A 25992-nucleotide genomic window follows, 5' to 3' on the forward strand; every position below is an offset into this window, starting at 1 on the left:
AAACTTCAACACAGCCCCTCTCCACTGAAGAAGTCTTCACACCTCTTGGATGGCCATTTTCAGGAAAGCTCTGTAAAGATACTCAAGAACTCCCTGTCCCTGCATTGGGGCCATCAAAACCAAGTTCAGTTTGCTTCATTCTATATCCTGGAAATTCCATCATTATTCCTACTTCTTGCTGCTTAATTTAACATGATGAATCTTGGCCTCTTCTAGGGAAACAAGAGCAGAGTGCATTATGCAATTTTCAATATAACGCACTAAAGGCTCCTAATTACTTGATTTAGGCATATGTAAATAAGAAGACCTTATATAAAATGAGTCAAAGATCATGCCTTGAGCATTCCACCAGTTGAACAATATTCTGATTACCTAATCAGGTTCTAAATGTATGTATAATGTATGCCTCAGAATATCAAGGCTATCACATATAAAGCAGTATGGTTCACGTTAATATATACGCTATGTTTCTTCAATTAAGACACTTGCCAGCTGACAGGCAGAGGAGTAAGTTGTGACATCTCAGTAGTGATCCTGCCTGAGCATGTGTGAACTTAGCTGTTCATCTGATTGTCACTTCATTGGTACTATTTGCATTGGCAACAGCATATGGAGTTGGGTTTCTGTTCCCTTTACTTTTAGTTGACATGTAATAATTGTACATATTTATGCGGTATAGAGTGGTATTTCGATACATGTACATAATATGTAATGATCAAATCAGGGTAATTAGAATATCCATCATCATAACCATTTATCACTTCTTTGCATTGGGAACATTCAAAATTTCTCTTCTAGATTTTTTGAACATATACACTAAATTATTATTAATGATATCTAACCTACAGTGCTATAGAACACTAGAACTTATTCTATCTAGCTGTCATTTCGTATCTGTTAACCAACCTCTCCCATCCTTCCCTCACACCTACCCCTCCCAGCCTCTTATAACCATAATTATACTCTCTTTCTATGAACTCAATACTTTTAATCTCCCATGTGTAAGAACATCCAGGGTATTTCTTTTCTTTGCCTGATTTATTTCACTTGATATAATGTCCTTCAGGTTCATCCACATTGCTGTGAATGACAAAAATCTCATTTTTTTTTATGGCTGGATGGTATTCCATTGTGTTGATATACCACACTTTCTTTATTCATTAATTCCTTAATGGTCATTTAGGATGATTCCATATCTTGGCAATTGTGAATAGTGTTGCAATAAACATAAGAGTGTAGATATCTCTTTGATATGCTGATTTCCTTTCTATTGGATAAATACACAGTAGTGGGATTGCTGGATCACACAGTAGTTCTATTTTTAGGTTTTTTTAAAAAACCCTCCATGCTGTTCACCATAGTGGCTGTGTTAATTTACATTCCCACCAGCAGTGTATAAGACTTCCCTTTTCTCTGCATCCTCACCAGCATTTGTTCTTTTTTGTCTTTTTGGTAATAGCCATTCTAAATGAAGCGAAATGATATCTCGTTATGGTTTTGATTTTTGCAATTCCCTGATGACTAGTGATGTTGAACATTTTTTCAAATACTTATTGGCTATTTGTACATCTTCTTTTAAGAAATCTCTATTGAGATCCTTTGCCCATTTCTAATTGAATTATTTGTTTTGCTTTGTTTTTGCTGTTGTGTTTCTTGTGTATTCTGGATATTGGTCCCTTGTCACAGCTAGTCTGTGTCAGTTTGCAAATATTTTCTCCCATTTACAGGTTGTCTTTTGACTTCATAAATTGTTTCCTTTGCTGTGCAGAAGTTTCTTCAGTTTAATATCTACTTTTTGGTTGCTGTCTGTGTTTTTACAGTCTTACATACAAAATCTTTTCCTAGACCAATGTCCTGAAGAGTTTCCTGTATGTTTTTTTCTAGTAGTTTATAGTTTCAGGTCTTCCAGTTAAGTCTTTAATCCATTTTAAGTTTATTTTTGTATGTGGCGAGGGATAGGGATACAGTTTCAATCTTCTGCATATAGATATCCACTTTCCCCAACACCATCTATCCTTCTCCAGTAGTTTACATCTTGTGGTTGCACAGCCCCAGAACTTCAGAAACATCCTAAACTCTTTCTTTCTCTAACAACACCTCAATGAATGTTATTGGCACCTTTGTGGGAAATCAATTGCCTATAAATATGTGGATTTATTTCTGAGTTATCTACTCTGTTCCATCGGTCTATGTGTCAGTTTTTATACCAGTACCATGCTGTTTTGATCACTATCGCTTTGTAGTATATTTTGAAGTCAGGTAGTGTGATGCCTCCAGCTTTGTTCCTTTTAGTATTTCTCTGGCTATTTGAAGTCTTTTGTGGTTCCATATTATGGAATTTGTTTTAACTTAAATTTGAATCTCTTAAAATGCCTTCAAAAAAGATTGTCTTGTGGTGATGCACTAGGTATAATGTCATTGTGTACGAAGGAGCTATCCTATCACATGCCTGGCAGTGCAGTTAGAGAGAATAGAAATAGCCAAGTCTTTCAGAAAAAACAATAAAATCTTGAAAGCTAACAGAGGTTCGCATGAACAATTCCTATGTCACTTGCGTACCAATATTTATCTATCAAAAGCTTTCAATCAAGGAATAAACAAAACCAAAAGGTTAACCAAATAGGAAAAACCACAAAATAGAACAAAAATGAGATGAAATCTTAATATTCTGCAAGTCTTGAAATTATACTTTCAATCTTAAAGTTATTAAAGGCAGGTTATGAAAAGCATCATATCACTGTGATATTAAAAATATTGACTGGTGGATAAAAGTGATTCCAAAGAATTTAAATGTGAAAAGGACTTGGTTAGATTCTTATACTTCTTTGCTGAACATTAGGAATATCACTTTCTTTTTACTTTCCTCCTCACTGGTTGCTTCTTTTATCTACTCTCTGTTGATTGTTGCTCACCTCCCAGTCCTCTAAATGTTAAAGAAGCCAAGTCCTTGGATCTCTTCTTTTATCTTTCTACACTCTCCCTAGGTGGTCACAGCTAGTCTCTATAGTTTTGAATACCATATATGTACTTACAAATCCCACATTTATAACCTTAGCCAAGATGTCTCCTGTGAACACCAGACTCATTTATCTATCTTCCTACTCAGCACATTTATTTGGATCGAATATGCATATTTGTCTAATATGCATCTCAAAATTAACATTTCCAAAAATGAATCCACATTACTCTCATTCTTTAAGCAAATCTATCCTTCCCCAATATTTTACGTCTTGTGGTTGCACAGCCCCAAAACTTCAGAAACATCCTCAACTCTTTCTTTCTCTAACACCATCCATGCAATCCATTTGACTTTTCCTTCAAAAGATATCCAGAGCTGACCAGTTCCCCTCACTTCATCCTTACCACCTCTATCCACAGCACCAGCATCTCCCTCCTGGACCAGGGCAACAGCATCCCGACTGGTTTCCCTGTCTCCACCCTCGGCCTCTTCAGTCTATTCTCTATAGGCAAGCCACAGTGACATGCTTTTCTTTTTTGAAAGTCTAAGTATTAAATTATCCATTAAATAACTAATTATTGCCTACGATAAGACACACAGATTTTAGGAGTAAAGTTTGATGAGTTTTGACTATTGTAAAACCATCTCCACCAAGTTACAGGACATTCCTATCATCCCCAAAAGTTTCCCTTATGATCCTGTCCACTCAATCGCCTCCCAGAGGAAACCAATGTTCTGATTCCTGCTATGAAAGTTTAGTTTTGCTTGTTTCAGAAGGTCACATGAATGGAAACGTATAGTACGCACCACCATGTGTCCCTGGCTTCCTTTACCACAGCATAACATTTATGAGATTCATCTGTTATTGAGAGTATTAATAGTTATATCATTTTATTGATGAGTAGTATTCCATTGTATAAATATCCCCTAATTAATTCATTATTTGTTGATGGACATTTGGGGTTGTTTCACACATTTTAGCTATATGAATAAAGATGCTACAAACACTGCACAAAGCTTTTTTGTGGACTTATCCTTTTGTTGTTCTTGAGTAAACACCTGAGAGTAGAATTGCTGGGTCATAGGTAAAAATCTTTAGTTTGATAAAAACTGCCTATTTTTCAAAGTGTTGTGTTATTTTCACACTCACTAGCAATGGATAAAAGTTCAGATTACGCTACATACTTGTAAGCATTTGTCAGTGGGTTCGTGTTGATATTGTTCGTTTTAATTTTGGCCATATTAATGGGTATACAATGGCATCTCACTGTGGTCTTTCTCTGATGATGATTGTGAATATATTTCCATATGCTTAGTGACCATTTGTATATCTTCTTCTGTGAGGTGTTTGTTCAAGTCTTTTGCCCATTTTTAAAAAGCGATCTTTTAAAAATATGTTAGTTCTTAACACTTCTCTGCTCAGAGCAATCCAATAGCATTTCAGATCACTCACTAAGAGCCAAAAATATTTACAGCATCCACTAAAGCACAACACGATCTGCCGCTCGGGTAACATTATGATCTCATCTCCTAGTACTGCTCCATCTGCTTAGACTCTTCATTATCCTGGTGTCCTTGAGCAACCAATCACCAGACCTCTCAGAGCTCCTGTTCCCTCTGCAGGGATTTTCTTGTCCCAGAGATCCACCTGCCTGTTTTCTCACTTCCTTTAGTACCTTCTGGAATATTCTGCACAAAATAGCAACCAGATCTCCAGCATTCCCTATTCCCTTTATCCAGTTTTATTTTTCCCGTAACACTTACCCATGAAGACGTGATTATTTTTACACTTATTTTTAGTTCCTTCGTCCCTCTCTCTTTCCCTCCCTTTTGCACTTTTATCTTCCTTCTTTCCTTCCTTCCCTCCTTCTCTCCTTCCTATTATTTATAGTTTATCTCATTCTACCAAAATATAAGCTCTATGAGGACAAGGAATTTTGACCATTCATTCCACAACTTTTGCTCACTACTGATTCCCAGATCCTAGAACAAGTTTTTAATGCTCCAGAAGTGTTGAGAGGAATATATATTTGAACTCTTTACCAACTTAAAGTCATAACATTTTAGTCTTTAACTATATTTTAAAAGCGGCAGATATATCTATTTAAAAGAAAAAAAAACACCTAAAACTGTGCTCCCAAACACTGTACCAAATCAATTTGATTTTTAAGAAATGAGGCCAGGAATGTTCACTCGTGCCTGAAATCCCAGCACTTTGGGAAGCCAAGTCAGGAAGATCACTTGAGCCCACGAATTTGAGACCATCCTGGGCAGCATGGCAGGACCCTATCTTAAAAAAAAAAAATTAGCTGGATGCAGTGGTACACACCTGTAGTCTCAGCTGCTTGGAGGGCCGAGGCAGCAGGATCCCTGAAGCCCAGGAGTTCAAGGCAGGAGTAAGCTCTGATTGTGGCACTGCACTCCAGCCTGGGTGACAAAGCAAGACCCTGTCTCTAAAATAAATAAATAAATAAATATTTTTAAAAGAGTTTTTAAAAACTGAGACTGAGTGAGCACGTGAATCAAATAGACTTCATAGAACAAAGTGAAAAATTATATATTTTATATATGCATCTGCATGTATACATACATCTGTACATATACATGTATAGAGAATTTTTTAAGTAATAATAAAACAGACAGATAAACTAACCTATACTGAGCACTTACTGAGAAACTGTTAAACCTCACAAGAATTCCAGGAGGAACTATTCCCACTTTACAGATAAGAACATTGAGGCTTAGGGTGTTTAAGTAACTTGTTAAATTCATACAGCTGGTCGGTTCCAGAGTCAGTATTTAAACTGTATTATATTGTATCACTTTGCCTAAATATTATATGTGTGTGTATGTACATTTAATTTGAATTACAAATAGAACATTGAAGAATAAAGTCTGTAATGTAAAAAAAAATCTAGTCCCTTCCAATGCTTTTATAACATTATCATTATGTACATATTTTATGGTGTTTGAATTTTCTTTTTGTAATCATTAGCGACTACATGTATATCATATATGTAGGTTATGAAACATAATAACAGAATAAACTCTCATGGATCTACCAACCAGCTTAAATAATGAGCATTGCCAAACTATCAAAGCTACCTGTGGACCCTTCCTCAATTCCATTCAGCTGCATTCCTCACCAGAAGTAAACACCACCTCAAATTGTGTGCATATCATTCCTTTGTTTTAATTAGAAATTTGATTACATGAATGTGTCCCTAAATGAGGTATTGTTTAGATTATTTCTATGGGATTTTTCAAGATGGTATCATACTATCTATAGTCCTCTCTGGTTGTTTTTTGTTTTCTCATTCAATACTACGCTTTTATGACTCCTCCATGTGTTTGTTTGTTTGTTTGTTTGTGGAGACAGAGTCTCACTTGTTGTCCAGGCTGGAGTGCAGTGGTATAATCATGGCTAGCTGCAGCCTTGAACTCTTGAGCCCAAGTTATCCTCCTGCCTTAATCTCCTGAGTAGCTGGGACTATAGGTGCATGCCACCATGCCTGGCTAATTTTTAAAAATATAATTTTGTAGAGACAGGGTCTCACTGTGTTACCCAGGCAGGTCTTGAACTCCTGGCTTCAAGCAGTCCTCCCACCTAGTCCTCCCAAAGTGCTGGAATTACAGGCATAAATCACCAGGCCTGGCCCAGTTCCTTCATGTAAATGCACATAGCTGTGGTGGTTCATTGATTTTAATGCTCTACTGTATTCCTTGTAGGAACATACCAAATTTGTTTGCTCATCCTTTTGCAAGCTTCTTTCATCAGACATCAAAACATATTACAAAGCTACTGTAAGACAATATGATATTTATACAAGGAGGAAGAGACAAAGTGATCAATGGGACCAAATAGAGAGTTTACAAAAAAGACGTTGCCAGATGGTAACTTGGAATCTAACAAAGTAAATTGCAGATCCATGGGAACAAGATGAACTATTCTGTAAATTGTGCTGAGATAACTGATTAAACGTTAAAGAAACCCTACCTTATACCACACAAAACAAATTCCAGCTGGACTAAATGTGAAAAGCAAACCTCTACAACTTTAAGAAGACAATATAACAGAATATCTTTATGACCTCTCAGTCAGCAAAAAGAAAATTATTTTGCCAGTGCAAAAATTACCAACCATAAAAAAATGATAAAGTCTATCTGGATATGAAATTATTTTTATCAAAGGATACCATAAAGAAAATAAAAGAAACCACAAACTATTAGAAGATATTTAGAACATAAACTACCTCTTCTTAAGGATTTCTTTTTTAAGTATATTCCTACATTCCCTGACATAGTCACAACTTGAGAAATTTACTCTTATTTTTTTTTTTTTTTTGTCTATTTCTTCCTAGAGCTTGGAAGGGTACCTGGTACTTGATACACTGTTGATTAACAACCTTTTATTTTAGGCTGTTTTCTACGGCAGCATATGTAAAATTTTACCTTGCTTTAAACAAAGGCTACTAACTATAGGTGGCATTGTTGTAACATATATCATGTTCTCAATTACCTGCATGACAGCAAAGATTGATACTAGTAAAACTTCATTTAAGTTTTTTAATTCAATTGAACGAGAAGGTCATTGACACTTCAGTAATTGCTATTGAAAACCATTTGGCTAAAAGAGAAAAACACACACATATACGCACACAAAATAAATTGTGACATAATCTTTACCACAGATTATTCACTTTAAAGGAATTTCCCACTATGATTCTTGTTACAGGATCATTATTGCAATTATTTTACCTAAGAAATTATCTGATACTTCTAACCCTATAGTCACACATGACATAATTGTTACAGCCATAAAGAAAGAAAAATTGTCAGTGCTTTCTGCTATTTTTTTAACTGCAAATAGAAAGTCCAGTTTTTAAGCTTTGTTCTTATTCGAAACTATGGAATAAACACAAAAGAATCAAAAGAACTAGCGAGAGAAAGAAAGTGGTTTGGGAGAATCTGAGAGTAGCTCCCTTACTACAGATGGCTGGCAAGCTGGTAACCTCAGTGTGAGACCCTGGCATTGCCTAAGTACTACTGAATATTGGTGACCTGGTTATTTCCTCCCAACTAGGAATCTCTGGTCAAGTCTTTGAGTTTTTCTGCTTTCTTCTCTGTCTTCATTCCAAGAAGACAGGGCTTAGTGTAGCTAAGTGCCTAAAATTCCCTTGTCTGTGAATGTTTAAAAACGTGTTCCCACTTGAAAGCATGGCAGAGACAGAGGTGTAAATGAACATTTCAGGCTACAAATTTAATCTGTAAAGTCCTGCATCTGTTGTCTCATCCATTAGATGGTGTGTTTCCACAAGTAGGAATCTTTTTTTTCTTTTTTCTTTTCTTTTCTCTTTTTTCTTTTCTTTCTTATTGTTAAATTATAAAATTCACTGCTAGGCTAACAAATCTTGTTGCTAAAAAACAAAGCCAGCACGCTACCAGAATGTATGAACAGAAGTGCACTGTATAGGAACCATTGAAATCTAATCACTTTAAAGCTTTCTAAAAAGACACTGTATTTCAGGACTACATAACCAATATATTATGCAGAGAAAACTTAGAGCTCAGAAAAAACAGTGAACATGAACATAGGTGTAGAAAATAGCAACTGAGAACGTATATACAATTAATATGACAAGACGGGAAGTCTAAAAAAGAACCAGGTAGAATATCAGTTCCTGTGTGCAGAGAATGGCTCCTGATATTGTGAAAATGTGGAAATCCACATACCTGGGTTAGAGACCCATACGTGTCACTTACAAGCCATATGACCCTGAACAAGTTCTATAATTTCTCTTGGTTGTTTTGTGAAAGGACAGGAAAATAATATTCAACTCACTGAGTTGTTTGGAGATTTAATGAGATGATGTGCTTAAAGCACTTTGTACACTATAAGGCGCTATATAAATGTGATTCATCTACCTAAAGAATAATTATTAAAACAGATTATCCCTGAGGAAAGAACAAAAGGAAATGAGTCTATGAAATTATAGTGAAAGGAATGTATATCACGCAGTGGGACAAGCATCCTGGCTGTGACACTGATTACTAGGGAAGCGACAGAGTTGGTTTCTGAGGTTATAAACCACCACTGCTTGACAGAATGAAAACAATCTTGCTTAGAGGTAAAATCATAGAGTATGTGACACTTTTTGGTGCCACCCGGGATAAAAATAATTGGGCTCAAAGTTAATACAATTCATTAGATAGTTCTGTCTTCTAAAGACAGGCTTAAACCATGTTTCCTGAGGTCCTGAGGAATCTAACAGAGTCAAGCCACGTAATTCTAGAGCATTTGATGGCTTCCTCTCGTACAAGTTGAATGAAGACTTGTCTATCCTCCTCTATTATCCTAAAATGAAGCTTTTAAAAATGAGCCACCAATCTATACAAAATAATTTGATGACATTTTGCCAAATATTAAGCCACGCAGTGGTGTCCTTAGGGAAACCCGAGAAGAGGAAAATCACGTTGTGCTCTCTGATGCCTTCCATAAGGGACACCAGAGGCCAACTTTGTGCAGGGCTCTATGGAAAGTACAAGGAAGGCAGAGGAGAAGCTAAAGCAGACACAGTCTCTGCCTCAAAGTGTCTCGGTCTAGTGGGAGAGTCAGCCATTACTCAAAGCCACATTAGGAAAAGAAGTGATCTGAAAGTACACAAAACAGAGATTTGACTGACAGACAGAAGCCAGCTAAGGATTCCCTAAAGATGAGGAGACAAAGTAGATATCTGAGAAAAGAGTAGGAATTAATCAGGCAAAGATACTACCTGGAGATTTCTAAGCAGACAGAACAGCAGATGCAAAGGTCCTGTGGCAAAAAGGAGCATGGTGATTCCAAGGATCTGAAAGAAGGCAGGAAGACAGGTGCACAGAATAGAGGATATGGAGTGAGATGAGGTGCAAGAGGTGGGTAGGGCCAAGTTAACTAGACTTTGAGGGAATGCTTAGGATTTTGGTCTTTATCCTCAGAGCAAAGCAAAGTCACTGGCACAAAGTAAACGTAGGTGAAGAGAAAGTAAATCACAGAACAGATGTAAAAACTGCATGTGGAAGGGATCAAGGATGGCCTTAGCTGCTTTGCAATGAAATAGATTAAAGATCACTGGCTGCCTCCTTAAGTCACAGGTCTGCTGACAGCAACATCATCCACTCCATACCCCCATCCCCAAAGGACACTGTATAGCCTGATCATCTCCACTTCCCTATCCCATGGGCAACTCTGCTGAGCAAGTCATTTGCCTCACAGAAGCTGATGATGGCTCTGGGGAGTTTAGATAATGGCAGTATATGATGGAATATGCATTTCCTAAAATGGAATGAGTGTATAGAGGGGTAAGGGTGGCAGCTGACACTGAGCGTGAATCTGTATGTGTCTACCTAACGCTAAAGCTACACCTGGAAGGAAAAATCATTACCCAAACTCACTTCTTCTTTCTGGTCTAGATAATGGCTCTCTATATTAAAAATGTTCCTACTATTAGTAGTTCTTTATAAAAGGAGAAGAGAAGGAAAAAAAAAACCTCTGGCAGAGAAATAATAACAAAATGTATGATCCACAGAGGTGGTGGGAAGATATAACGTTATTTTACATATTTGATATAGAGCCTAAATTAAGCCATAGAAAAGAGGCCATGAATCTTCATAGCCTCATTATCAAGCTTCCCTAAACCTCAAATACAGAAAAATACATTTCATAAACAAAGATCCAATAGGATTTTAATAGTTCAATAAATTTCACAGACATTTGCACTAATCACATTTCATTACATTTTTTAAAAGAAATTCCATTGATGGAGTGTCAGATTTTGAAAGAGGGCACAAAATATCTTTTGGGAAGCTAGTTTTGGCTAACCATGAAAATGCAAGTCAAATGTATCATGGACAAGTCAAATGTTATGCAACCGAAAAGTTACACATATGCCTTTTTTTTTTTCCTACTTCTTGACTCCATTGTGTCAAGAGTCAATCTCTTAAATCCCTCAGGACACATCTTTCCTCCAAACCATCCCAACCTGAATGGCAAGAAATTCAGACTTCAGTATAAGCTGTCAGTCCCTAAGATGTTCTATGGTCCTGGATGCCTATCAGCAGCTCCATTTTTTCAAGATGTAGATGAATTTTTTAATGCAAGGCTTCATCTATTAATTACCAACTTATTGAAGGCATTCTAGTTTGAATGTTATCACCACAATCATCTCATCCCCAGTGAAAGAAATACATTTATCCAGTACTACAAACCAGGGCACGAGAGGCCCTGACCTCCTGTGGCTGGACCCTTCTCCATGGTATGGCCGAGGGGACATGCCCATCTAGAGCCTATGCCCGTCTTCTAGGAATTCCCTACTCAAGTGGTTCTAGGCCTACTTCAGGTCTGACTCCATCCTCCCAGTGGCTGACTAGTCTATTAGATACATTCCTAGGCCTGGGGGGAGGCCAAAGGGCAGCTATATTAAAGGGATATGAATGTGCAGACTAGGGCATCCATACAGGTGTGCACAAGGCACTCAGATATTGGAAAGAGCTGGGAGTAGGAAGGGGGTCAGATTAGAGGCTGAGGGCTGAGAAACAGTTCTTGTCATGTTGCCATGGTCTGGTGCACTACTCTAAGAAGTCTGTGGATTCTAAATTAGAGCTTGGCCTTCCAGTTCATTCTGAACACTGCCATTCAAAGCTCAATGTACTAACAAAATACCTGGGGGTCTTGTTCCAATGCAGATCTGATTCAGTAAATCTGAGGTAGGGCCTGAAAGTCTGCATTTCTAATGCGCTCCAAAATGATACTGACACTGCTGGTATGTGGGCCACATTTTAAGTAAAAAGGATCATGAAGGTACATTTGTCAAGGTAGAACAATAGAACATGTTTTATTTAACAATTTATAAGCCAGGTACATTCATGGTACCTGGGTCTCCATTTGGACACGTGTCCTAGCCCAGCAAATGTTAGGGACATTCTTGCATTTATCTTTCATCAGAATGATCTGCCCACTTCCACAGAAATCTCATCTTAAGGGAAGAATCATGTTGGAGTATAACGTGTCAACAAAAGATTATTTGTATCCATTCATTCTGCTTCAGATGATACACCAGATGGTTGTTCAGGCTGTCTATACGTATGAATTCTGATACTAGGAGCAAAGTAAGGATTTGTTGTCCATTGGCAGCAAGTCCACTTACTTATCTTCACTATTCCCAAGCCCTTGGGCTCAACCTCTAGGAGTAATCATCTTGTAAACAGAAACCAGAAGAACAAGACCAGAAGGTAGAAACTAGCCACACTACTAGGAAAACATATGCCTTCAGTGGGTGCAGGCTCACCTGTAAGGAATTTAGATATATAGGCATCTCCCAGGATGGCCTTCCTTCCATGCCTTTTCTTCCATGCCCTTCCCTCATCATGGTGCTCAACTTCCGGCTCTTGTTTTCTTATCCTAGCATCGTTCTGAGGTCCCAGGGAACCTCAGTCTACTTCAGTCTATTCCTGCTGAACAAAACCAGCCCAAGTTTTCCCTGTGCCTCTAAAATTCCACATTGCAAATTCCACTGTATTATAAGCCACTATAAACCAATGGCCTTCCAGCTGTCAAAACCCATGCATCCTACAGAGGGTGGCTGCTTTTTTAAGAAACAAAAACTTATACATACAAAAGCGAAAAGGATGGAATCCCACTCTTAGTCACCTTATTTGTTTCTGGCTGGCCCTACTTGCATCTCATGCCACAACCCTCAGCACTCCAGCCTTGTGTACACATCCATTTGAACTGGACTACCTGAGTTTCCTAAACAAGAGCTTACATTTGGCCTTGTCTTCTACTCTTTTTAAGAAAATAAATTTTACTGTTTAGAGTAGTTTTGGTGTGACAGCAAAATTGAGAGGAAGGTACAGGGACTTCTTAAGTATCGCCTACCTACCCTCCACATACACAGCATCGCCCCCCCTCCCCATTGATATTCCCCACCAGAGGGGTACATTTGCTACAACTAATGAACTTACATTGACACAGCATTTCCACCCAAAGCCCAGACTTTGCATTAGGGTTACTTCTTGGGGTTATATAAAGGTTTGGATAAATGTAATGACATGTACCTATTATTATAATATCATACAAAATAGTTTCACTGCCCTAAAAATCCTCCGCAGCTCACCTCTTCACCCTGCAGTCCCCAACCTCTGGCAACCACTGATCTTTTTTTACTGTCTCCATAGGACCCTGCCTTTTCTAGAAAGACATATAGTTTAAATAATATACTATATAGCCTTTTCAAATTTGCTTCTTTCATTTAGTAACATGCACTTAAGTTTCCTTTATGTATTTTCATCACTTGATAGCTCATTTCTTTTTAGCAGTGAATAATACTCCGTTGTCTGGATGTACCATGGTTTATTTAACTATGCACTATTGAAAGACAATTTGGTTGCTTCCAAATTTTGGCAGTTATGAATACAGCTGCTATAAGCATATGTGTGCATATTTTTGTGTGGCACAAGTTTTCAGCTTATTTAGGTAAAAACCAAGGAACATGATTGTTGAATCATATAGTAAGAGTGTGTTTAGTTTTGTAAGAAACTGCCCAAACTGTCTTCTAAACCAAAGTGACTATACCATTTTGCATTCCTATCAGTAATGAATGAAAGTTCCTGTAGTTTCACATCCTCATCAGCATTTGGTATTGTCAGCGTCTTGGATTTTGGCCATTCAAATAAGTGTACAGTGGTATTTCATTGTTGTTTTAATTTGAAATTCCTGAGTCACATCATATGATGTTGATTGTCTATCTTATTTGCTATTTGTATTTCTTCTTTTGTAAGTTTTCTGCTCTGGTCTTTTGCTTATTTTTTAATTGGGTTATTTGATTTCTTATTGTTGAGTTTTAAGAGTTCTTTGTATATTTTGGATAACAATCCTTTATAAGATGTCTTTTATAAATGTTTTCTCCCAGTCTTTGGCTTGTTTTCTCATTCCCTTGACAGTGTCTTTCACAGGGAAGAAATTTTTAAGTTTAATGAAATCAATTATTTATTTCATGAATTGTACCTTTGGTGCTGTATCTAAAGAGTCATTGGCATACCCAAAGTCATTTACATTTTCTCATATGTTCTCTTCTAAAAGTTTTATGGTTTTACATTTTACATTTAGGTATATGACACATTTTGAGTTAATTTTTGTGAAGAATGTAAGATCTATGTCTAGATTCATTCTTTTATTTTTGCATGTGGATATCCAGTTGTTCAAGCACCATTTGTTGAAAAGGCTATTTTTTCCCCATTGTATTTCCCCAGCTCCATTGTCAAAGATTAACTGACTGTGTTTATGTGGTCTAGTTTTGAGCTCTCTATTCTGTTACATTAATCTACTTGCCTATTATTTTGCCAATACCACACTGTCTTGATTACTGTAGCTTTAAAGTAGTATCAGTTCTCTCATATTATTCTCTTTCATTCTTGTGTTGACTAGTATGGGTCTTTTTTTTTTTTTGTCTCTATAAATTTAAGAATCCATGGGTTGATATCCACAGACTAACTTGCTGAAATTTTGATTGGAATTGCATTGAATCTATAGGTCAAGTTGGCAAGAGCTGACATTTGGCAATATTGAGTCTTCCTATCCATGAACATGGAATATCTCCATTTATTTAGTTATCCTTTAACTAGAGTTTTGTAGTTTTCTTTGTACAGCTCTTGTACATATTTTCTTAGATTTATACTCAAGTGTTTTACTTTTTGGGGTGCTAATGTAAATAGTTTACTACTCTTCTGCAAGGAATTTTCTTCTTTGCTTCCACTCTTTCTAGACTAACTCCTTTAGAAATCTCAGGTCTGAGTATTCTTACTTTGGGAAATCTTTCTTAAGCACATATTTAATCATTCATTCATTCACTCATGCATTTACTTAACAAATATATATGGTGTGTTTACTATGTGTTAGTTGTTATTCTAATCTCTGAGGATATGGCAGTGGCCTAACATTTTCTACTGTCATGAAGCTCACCTTCCAGTGAGGAGAATAAATGTAAACATAGAAAATCTGATATTAGTAACCCACTTGAGGAGAGATATTCTTTAAGTATTCGATGAATGAATGACTAAACGAATGAATGAATGTTGAAATTTTCTGACCCTTATGGTGTTCAAGGAACTTATTTTTGATTAAGTTTTTCCTCATCCAAATTGAAAAAAAACATAGAAAAAAACATAAAAAATAGGTAAACCTATTTTATGTTTCCACTGACCACAACCCATGATCTAACATAATTATAAGTTTACCTTCAGTACTTAGTAAATACTTAAGTGATTGACTGACTGATGTTTTAGGAACCACATTTTGGACTATTGGCCCTTCTATAGAAATTTTCTTTCCTTTTTTGAGACGGAGTTTCGCTTTTGTTGCCCAGGCTAGAGTGCAATGGCGCTATCTCAGCTCACCGCAACCTCCGCCTCCCTGGTTCAAGCAACTCTCCTGCCTCAGCCTTCTGAGTAGCTGGGATTACAGGCATGCACCACCATGCCCGGCTAATTTTGTATTTTTAGTAGAGACAGGGTTTCTCCATGTTGGTCAGACTGGTCTCAAACTCCTGACCTCAGGTGATCCGCCCACCTCAGCACTCTCAAAGTGCTGGGATTACAGGCATGAGCCACGGTGCCCAGCTGAAATTTTCAAGCAAGAATGTTAAATTTGTGATGTTTTCAAGCAAGAATGTTAAATTTGTGATGGAAGATGCCTTTCATAACTGAGGTGTGAATTCTCTTGAATCTGAGGGGAAGAGACAATGGCACATGAAAGAATCATCACCTTCTTTATTTCAAATTCAAATTTCTCCCTTCCTCCCATCCCAGATTCTAATTCAAACAGCTACAACCCCATAGCTTTTCACCAGAGTCAAGTTCAAGTGGGCTACTATATTAGACAGAAAAATGCTAAGAATCACCCATGGAAACATTACTGAAGCCACCAGAGTTTTACTATCAACTGGAAAATCCACAAATAAAATGAGAAAATGCATCACTAAAAATCTAATGTGCAGTTGGGTAAATGATAAACCAATTTGAATTAGTGAATACTAATTGAAAAACTGCATGACAAAGTATTTTCCCATTAAAGCAGGAATTTGCTAAAGGCATTTTCAATTATGTATCATGCTTCAGTAAAAAGCTTCACACATTCTAAAAACATAGTGTCTTCTTCAACTTTGCCTCCTGACGGAATTTTTAGCACAATGGCTACCTAGCTCAGATAACTTTAAAAATTAGATGCCAATGACCTTGACAAGGTTCTTCAATTTTTATGTGGTTCTTTTTTTCTCTCTGGTCCTCACACCTAACAGAACAGATGTTTTTAACTTGAGAACCTAATTATTATCTATGAGTGTTAATATTTTTAACCTAATCATGGTTTATCTGCATCCCAGAAACTCACAGTTCACTGTGCTTTGCTAGACAAGTAGAATATTTAGAAGTTTTGACCATCTAAAAGGACATTTTAGATGAAGGACTATCCCCCTTTGAAGTTCACAAATATTTGAATGTCCTTTCAATTGCTTAGATACCTTACTCTTCTCAAAATCAGGGCAGAGGTGACTGCTGGGAGCCAAAATTGTGGATTCCAAACCTACAGGGAAGGGAATATATCTGGAACATAATACCCTGTTGGTGCTCAATAAATGTTTATTAATGAGCCCCTTTTTTTGACCCAGGCACAGAGAATAAATCCAAGGAAGGAAGATTATGCAAATAGACAGAAAGGTCACCCAGCCCTACATGGGGGTGTGGCCCAGGGTGGGGGCAGAACCAAGTCATTCAGGTGACAGGACATTCTCTTGGGTGTATAGCAGTGACCCTGGAAACCCTCATTCCAATAGTTATCTGCTCCATTATAAAATAGTGTAGAAGAACATTTCAGCCACTGACTGCAGAAAATACTGTTTGAGAAAAAAAAATATGTTCTCTCCTTACAACAGTTTAAAGAGATTCTTAGGCCAGAGAACTCTTGATGAAGAATAGACAATGAAGAGAATCAAAGTGAGATCTATAAGAATCATTAGTAATTGGAATGTCCACATTGCATAACTGCAGAATGGAGGGAGAGCACTCATGAAGCCAGACTTAGCAATATCTTTACAGTGAACAGATTTATTACGAAAGCAACGTGTTAGAAAGAAGTACACGTATTGGAAATGCGTGTCATCCAAACTGATGACATTGGGCACGGGCCATTCCAAAGGCAAAATTCGTAAAACAATATTCCCCTCTCTGATATAAAACAGAAAAGCCATGAAACAGTTACCAAAATGCCTCAAAAGATTCATCTGTTATTTCTCCTCAATACTGCAGAGAAAAATGTCTCTGTGATTTGGCACCAGTCATTAGCTATTTAAAATTATTGGTTTTAATCTAGTAAGTAAAACCGAAATTTGCAATGGTTTATTTTAATAAAATATTTATGATGCTTCAGGAAAACAGCTAAATAGCTCTGATCTGAAAACGAACAATGAGACTGAACTAAATTGATTTCTCCCCAGTAGGACATACAGCTCAAAACACACACACATAAAAGAGTGACACGTCAAACACTAAACTGTATTTGGTAGACATTGTCTTCTTTTAATTGAAATCTTATCTGAGGTGAAGATTATCTCTTTTCCTTCAGCTACGCTAATCTCTTCTAGCCTGAAGGCCCATAACTTGTGAATTACTAAACAATCATATTTGTAGCAGCAAATTGATTTCTGAGAGATTCATATTGATTGAGATATTCAGGACTAATGATTTTGAGGTTAGGGTGTTTAGACATTATTACCTCTGATGAACAAAATTGGTAGAGTTTTTTTTTCTATTTATATTTTTTTCCATTAATAGATAGTTCAACTTGCACTTTAGCCTTGAATCCACCTATCAGACCAATTGGAGTGCCAGTTGGCTTTCTCAACTACCAACCTGATATGCTAAAATTATGCCGGTTTTTGTCCACATTCATAAAAAGATGGCAACTGTGATAGGTGAGTCAAGTGGTCAGCAATCTATCAGGAGTTACTGTCAGAGTTATAGTTGTTGGCTTGGCTAATTAGGCTTGCTCCTATCTTAGTAACTCAGGAAACATCCCTGAACCACAAATAATTGCCAATGGGACACCTAAGAATCACTGGATGAGAGTGAAGTGGCCAAAACTGAGTACATTAATTGCTAGTTACCAGAAAAAAATAACACCAAGTACACAGTCAAATGTACTTCACTGTAGGCCAGAACCTCCATGTTCATATACAAACTATAATCCATACTAACATACAGCAGTAGCATCTAACAGTATTAGGAATGTGTCACATTGACTCTGCTCATCAACGGACTGTCTGGGTCACTGACATGCTGGAACCTCAGAAGGTATGGTCTCAGCACTTAATAAGGAGGATTATCTTTATGACATCAATTCTGTAGAAACACAAGTTTAAGTGTCTGCTCTGCCAATGACTGGCTGCATACGCTTAGTCAGAGTATTTAATGTCACTAGGCCACTGTTATTTCATCTGAAAGATGAACTAGTATGTACTACATAAGTGCAACAAGAACAAAGTAAATAAAAGCTTTTAAATTTTTAAAGTACAGTGCAGGTGCGTGTAAAAGTTTGTGTTGTTCTGGTTGATATTAAAATGAGAGATTAAGGTATTTAAGGTAGTGGAATGGGAGTCTGTGATTTGAAGATTTTCATTCTCTTTTACCCTACATCTAAACCATCGCCAGATCCTGTTGGCACTACCTTTGAAGCAGACCCAGGGAATCTAACCACTTCTCCCCACCTCCATGTCTACCACTGGAGTCCAAACCACTGTGTGTCCTCCCTGGAGAACTGCAGCAGCCTCTCAATGAGGCTCCCTGCTTCTGTCCTAGCCCCTTGTCGGTCTATTTTCTAAACAGCTGCTGGGATGATCCTTCAAAAAGGTAAGTAAGATCATGTCACTCCTCACCTCAAAATCCTATAAATGGTTTTATCTCATTCAGGGTAAAAGCCACAGCCATGATACCGGCCTAATGAGCCTACACACCCTGCAGTACTCCTGTTTCTCCTCTGACATCACCTCTCATTGTCCTCTCCATGAGGAACTTCAGCCCAGTCCTTCTGCTGTCCTCGCTTTACTTGAACATACCACTCAGTCCCCTTCCATAGAATGTTTGCACCTGCTGTTCCCATTATGGAATATACCCCTCCCAGACATCTACACAACCACTCCCTCAGTGTTGTCAGGTCGCTGCTGTTGCCCCAGGGCCCAGAAGCAGTGCTGGACCCATATGCAGATGTTAAAGGATGGCTTTAACATCTTAACATGAGCAATGGCTCATGCCTGTAATCCCAGCACTTTGGGAGGCCGAGGCGGGTGGATCACCTGAGGTCGGGAGTTCGAGACCAGCCTGACTAACATGGAGAAACCCCATCTCCACTAAAAATACAAAATTAGCTGGGTGTGGCGGTACATGGTTTTAATCCCAGCTACTCGGGAGGCTGAGGCGCAAGAATTGCTTGAACCTGGGAGGCAGAGGTTGCGGTGAGCTGAGATAGTGCCATTGCACTCCAGTCTGGGCAACAAGAGTGAAACTCTGTCTCAAAAAAAAAAAAAAAAGAATAAAAGGATGAATGAATGAATAGATGAATCCCAAATCTAGCTACTATAACAGCATTCTTGATTCTTAAAAACCCATAAGCGTATCCCTGGTTTTTAACAAACTATATGTTCGGGCCACTTTCAAAAACTGTGTTATCCTAATTGTCCCAACCCCACTAGTTATAACACAGTAACTCAGTCACAAACCCCGGTGTAACTTTTGAGCTTACAATTACAATAGAAAAAGATTATTATCATAGTAGAATCATTATCATTAATATTTCTTTTTAAAGAACATAAGTAGGTAACTTTCAACTATATTCATCTTCCCAAAAGTCTTGCTAATTAGAAAGACTATAGTTAAAAGTACTTTATTGTATATTTCAAAACAGCTAGAAGAATTGGAATGTTCCCAAAACAAAGAAAAGACAAATGATTGAAGTGACAGACATCCCAATTACCCTGATTTGATCATTACAGATTGTAGCATGCATCCAAATATCACATATATCCCAAAATACATGCAACTATTATATATCTTTTTTAAATCTTTCCAGTTGACTTATGTCTCTGAAACTCCTGATATGACAATAACCTAGACCTAACTCTTGCAGGTATTCATTTTCCAAAGGGGAAAAAAATAGCAACAAAAAGATCTCAACATTTCTTAAGCTGAGATTCATAATATTTTTATTCCTAAACCACATATACATTAGCCTCCAAAGTTCTCAGGGTAAAAAATAAAAAGGTTTATAATTTTTTAAACAGAAAAAAATGGGCAGCAGCACTTTAAAACTTCTCAGTTTGAAAGAGATATGTTTGGTCAATGATCTATTTTTATTTCTGCTCTGCTGTTTCTTGAGGAGTCCAATGACAAGGACCTGTCCTTCAAAGTTTTAGTCTGTGGGCAGAGAATTAGCATTTTCAATTACTTTCCCTGGATGAAGTATATGGGTCTCTTTCCCTCCCCACCCCCAGACTTTTCTCTCATTCTCTCTCTCCCCTCGGAGGACAGGGAGGGCAGTTTCTGGGTTACACTTCCTTTTGTGCTTTTTTTTTTTTTTAATTTTCTTTCAGAATTTTCTCAGCAGGCTACAATCATGCTTTAAGAAGTAATTTATAAATATTTTTTCCCAGAAAAAAGAACTGCAAATATAGGATTTAAGCATCATATGATATCTGCTTAAACTGTTGACACTATCTGTTTTAGTTAACAAATTTGTTTTATGTCATTCTTAATCAACAGACATATGGTTTTGTTACTTTTGTTGATTCTGCAGCAAAGCCAGTTAACGTTGTTATTATCTTGGATACATACTCAGAACAGTTACCCTTACAGACATTTTTAATAAAAACAAACAACAACTGGGTGGACTCAGAAATGAGATCAGATTGCTTTATCAGCCAAGGAACAACCATTGTTCTATTTCACATAGTTCATATTCTTCTTTCAATGTCCTCTCTCTTACCAACCATTTTAAATACAATGATCTGGTCAGATCAAGGACAGACATGGAAAGGGGAAGACAAAAAGAAGCAACCTCTGTTTAACTTTTGGTAAAACCAGCATCCAAAGAAGGAAAACCAGAAAGTACAAAAAGCTAGGTGCACGGGTTGAGCCCAGGTAACAGGAGCCATAAATTCTTCTATCATGATGCAGTTGCCCTGCCAATTTGGCGGAAAATCTTGGAGGGCCCTTCCTTTATTCTGGCTCTAGTCTCTATTAAATCACAGAAATAAATGATCTCAAGCACTTTGGAAATATACAGTGCTCACTAAAAAGACACTCAGAATTCTGAAAATATTCAATTCTCAACCTTTATATAGTCTGCATCTCTACTTTTAAGTCTTGAGGAGAGGTACTAGAGAAAAATAGGTAGTCTGGGATCTAATCCCTTTGATTGTAGAATGCCCTTTAATCAAAGAGGTTAAGGAATAGGCAACTGGTCAAATAACCCGGACATCTCTTTTGTCAATGGGAAAGAACTACATTTGTTGAGTACATGCATGTGCTGGTTCCCTGTGGGATTCTTCACATATATCATTTGAAGGAAGAGATCCCAGGACAAATCATTTTACCTTCTTATCCCACAAAGCTCAGCAGGAAATGGTCTTGACCCATGACAAAGATTTCAAAAAGGGCTGCTTTCCATGACAAATCCAACCACCTTCTAAATGTCCATGAGCTTCACAATTCTCCCAGGGCTGAAGTTTCCTTCAGAGCAGGTTAAGCAATTATCTAACACCTAATAGAAACTTCCAATCCAAGTTTCTTGGAAAGGTGTATCTAACAAAATTCTTAGTAGAGTCCTACATTAATCCAAAAAGTTTGAAAAAAATTGGTAGAAATTAAAGGTAGATAAATATAAAAAATACAAATCACTCTAATAACTCTAAATGAGTAACCCATTTAAAGCCATATAAGCATAACCCAGCACTTCAAAGTAGAAAATGCTCCTAAATGTGTGTGTGTGTGTGTGTGTGTGTGTGTGTGTGTGTGTATGAAAATGATTACTCCTCTTCCCTCATCCACTCCAACCTCCATAGCTTAAAATAAAAATAAGTTGGAGAGAATTAAACTAGGACACTACTCCATGAGGTTGCAAATGTTTAAGCTATTAGGTGAATCTCTAAACCATGTCTGTGCTGTTGGCTGTTTTATTAAGTTTACCTTCAGCAGATGTAACCTTCATAACCCAGTGTCTCCATAGGTCTGACATTTACCTGGCAATATCTTTTCAAAGCGATATCCTTCAATGCTAAACACCTCTTAATTAGGGGCTCATTGAACAAAGGTAGCATTCATCTCTTCATTTACAAAGAGAAGCAACAGCAGCAATGGTAGCAATTTTTATTTGTAGGAACCTAACTGCCAGTTAGACTCATTTTTATTACCCTTCAGTGATGTGGTTTGTGTTTTGTTTTGTGCTTAAATGATGGATTGTAGTCAAATGAGTCTGTCTTTCCTCCTTATTACTCTTACGGTTTTCATAAAGAAGGAAAAACAAAGAGAGAGAGTTTAGGTAATTGTATTCCATATCCAGCCTAAGTCAAGTTCATTAGAGGGAAAAGAAGTGAATTTGGAGCTTCCCCTACTCTTTTTATTAGTTTAATTATAGTGGACACCACAGTATGGAGCATCTGGAATGGAGATGGAGTCATTTCCTTTCTTATGTAGTGCTCACTTAGTATAAGTCATGCCTATAGTCATAAAAGAGTGAAAGCCAGTAGAATCTTGCTCGCTCTCTCTTATTTTCAAGGTGTTTCTTTCATTGTTTGGAGAAATCCTGGGAGTCTTATTGGAGCAAGTAATTACATACTTGCTCAATTATTGGCTTAAAAATTTTTTTAGCATAAATTTCCTTTACTGTCCTCTAGACTCGCACATTTACTCTAGGGTATTGGACCTATCTGTCAAGCTCTTAAGAGTCAAGTTTTAATGCAACCTAATGGTACCAGAAGGAAAAATCCTTACAAATGGGAGACTACACAAACAAAGTTTCCAAGGAGGATACATACACACACACACACACACACACACACACACATATACATATAGATAGATGCCTAAGATATAATGTGAACTAAATTTTAAAAGTAGACTTTTATCTACACATATCATCTTTATTTTACTTAATATTTGTAGTGGACTTTCTCAAACCCTTCTACATAGAATGTGAGGACTGGGAAGCTGTAACCCTTACTGAATAGAAGAAATAGAAGCACAGACAATAAGTACAGGGCCAAGTTTCCTCAGCTGGCAGGTGCCGGGGCCTCCAGGAATCCAAGTGTCCTGACTCCCTACTCAGCATTCTTTCTTCTAGGCACCATTTATCATGCCAGGTATCTGCAACATCCTGCATTGGTGGCTAAGAATAATTAACCAGCTGGGTTGCTGTGGTTTGAATGTCCCCACCAAAACTCATATTGACATTTCACTGCCATTGTAATAGCATTAAGAGGTGGGGTCTTTAAGAGGTGATCAGGCCATGGGTGACCGGTCCTCATGAATGGATTCATGCTTTATTATTCAGGAGTGGGTTCATAATCTCAGGAGCAGATTCCTGATAAAAAGGGTGAGTTTGGTCCAATTTCCCCTTGCTTGCACGTGCTCTCTTGTCCTTCTCCCTTCCACCATGGGATGATGCAGTAAGAAGGCCCTTGTCAGATACTGGAACCATGCTCTTGGATTTCCCAGCCACTAGAATTGTGAGAAATGAATTTATTTTCTTTATAGATTATCTAGTCGGCTGTATTATGTTATAGCAGAAGGAAACAAACTAAGACATGGAAGAATGGGGAAACTGAGACAAAGAGAACTTATTTGCTTAAAACGAGAGCTGGCAAATGACTTCTGGTGGGCCAAATTCACCACCCCCAACTCCCACCCTCCAATGCCTACCTTTTTAAAAAAAAGTTTTATTGGGACACAGCCATACTCATTCATTTCCATATTGCCTAAAGCTACTTTTGCACTATAATGGCAGAGTTGAGTAGCTGTGAAACAGAGACTATATAGCTGGCAAGGCAGAAAATATTTATTCTCTGGTCTTTACAGAACAAGTTTGCCAGTTCCTGGCCTAAGGTACACAGACAGTGCCAAAATTGGTACTAAAACCCACATCTAGTAACTTGTTTCACACAGAGAATAAAATTTAATCTAGTCAAACATGCTAATACTCACCCTACCAGAATCAACAAGGATCTCCCGGACACTGTGGCCTCAGCACTGCAAAGGGACATCCAATATCTATCTTTCAACCTCTATCCACATCTCTAGTCTCATGGACAACCCAGTTTCTCAGTACCCCAATACTGTGTGCAGTGCTTCTGAATGTCAATCTCTTCCATGACAGTCAGAGCAGAAAGAGCCATCTCTATGCAAGTACCCTATTCTCTTCCCCTAAGGTATAGTAATTTTGTGTTGAAAAGGAAGTTTTTTCCACATGTCCACTAATGAAATGAGAGCTGTGAGCCACTGTGGCTTCTCAAAGAAGGAGGCCAAGGTCTCTTTCCTTTATTGTCCTCTTCAGCTTTTTTTCCCCAGAGAGCTCAAATTCTGGGAGCTGATCAGGCTACATGCTTAAAGAAGTGAAATATTCCCAGGTCCAAAAGCCACAGTGACCATGTGCACATGAGCTGGGACCTCTTCTCTTTCACTCACTTAATCTAAACAGTTATCCAGCCTTAGAGAGGAGAAGTTTGCTCCATGCTCTCTCTCCCTCCCCTCCTCCCATTTTTGCCTTTTTATTTGGAAGTTAGCTGGATATACTCACAAATATAGCTTAGACTGGCTTGACTTTTCAAACTGCAAAGTCTCTCTAAACCCCTACCCTTCCCACCCCATATCACTGGCCCTATCTTCTTCTGCCCCAGTTCCTCAGACTATGGTATGGACATGTTGAAAAAGACTTTCCTTACAGGGAGTTAATGTGTGATTCAGGATTGGCTTTAAGGGATAAAATGCCTCTCCTCCCAACTCTCAACTAACTTTAGAGTTCTGCTTTGAGATTTGACATGAAACAGCCAGCCACAATACCGTATGCATTTATCTCTCTTCCATCCCCCATTCCACACCTGAATCTGCCATTTGCCAGTCACTGTCTTCTTCACAAATATCCCTTGGGGATTCCAAGAGGTGGGAAGCTTGATCATGGCCAAGATTCTTAGATTCTTGGGTCTTCTGGCCATGATATCAGAGAGACAATATAATGCAGGATAGTGGAATCACAACATCTGATTTCAAAATCCAGGATCACCTACTTACTAGCTGCTTGACAAGTCACTCAAACTGTGCCTCTGTTTCCTCATCTATAAAATGGGAATGATAATAATCCGTAACTCATAGGAATGTTATGAAAATAAATGAATTAATAGATGTAAAGGACTTAGAACTCTGGCTCCCTAAGTAAAGACTATAATAAGTGTTTAATAACTGGAATGAAAATTTAAATTAGAGTTTAAAGGAAAACTGGCACCAAGACATCATGCTATTATATAGACAGCTTGCCCATTTCAAAAGAGGTTTTAAAAGTGATTTAATAAAAATGCACATATTGCATTGAGCCACTCACTCTTTGTAAAGTAATTCCTAAAGCTCCAAAACCTCCAGAATCAAATGATGCAATATTTAAAATGGACACCTCCCAAGGAAGTGTCTAAAGCATCACACTGCTAAACCTAAGGACTCTTCCATACAAAATGCTATTTTTCCCCTTTCTTTTCTTTCTACCCAATTAAAACGCTCACTTTCCAATCCCAATTCTTTTATTTCATGATGTCCATTTAACAACCCCCTCTATGGTTACTAAATCCTACTTTTTCTTGTTTTATTATGAATTTGTGTAGCATTAATGCTTGCGTTCCATGTTGCACCACTGTGCACAGAATGGTAACTTTGGTCAGTAAAATTCACCAGCTGTTACCTCCATGTCTGCTGCT

General features: G+C 37.6%; 1 protein-coding gene across 39 annotated transcripts in view; it reads right to left on the reverse strand.

Annotated features, from left to right (window-relative positions):
• ESRRG (estrogen related receptor gamma) overlaps positions 1–25992 on the reverse strand; it is a 634457-nt gene that overhangs the window by 451028 nt on the left and 157437 nt on the right. For 3 of the 39 annotated variants that reach the window (XM_017000636.3, XM_017000623.3, NM_001134285.3), the window contains one exon: positions 5289–5412. The exons of the other annotated variants lie outside the window; for them this stretch is intronic. The gene's annotated coding sequence lies outside the window, so the exon portion shown is untranslated. Of the gene's footprint in view, positions 1–5288; positions 5413–25992 lie in introns of those variants that run through there. 39 annotated transcript variants of the gene reach the window in all.

Source organism: Homo sapiens, chromosome 1 (assembly GCF_000001405.40).
Source record: "Homo sapiens chromosome 1, GRCh38.p14 Primary Assembly".
In the NCBI taxonomy this organism is placed as follows: domain Eukaryota; kingdom Metazoa; phylum Chordata; class Mammalia; order Primates; family Hominidae; genus Homo; species Homo sapiens.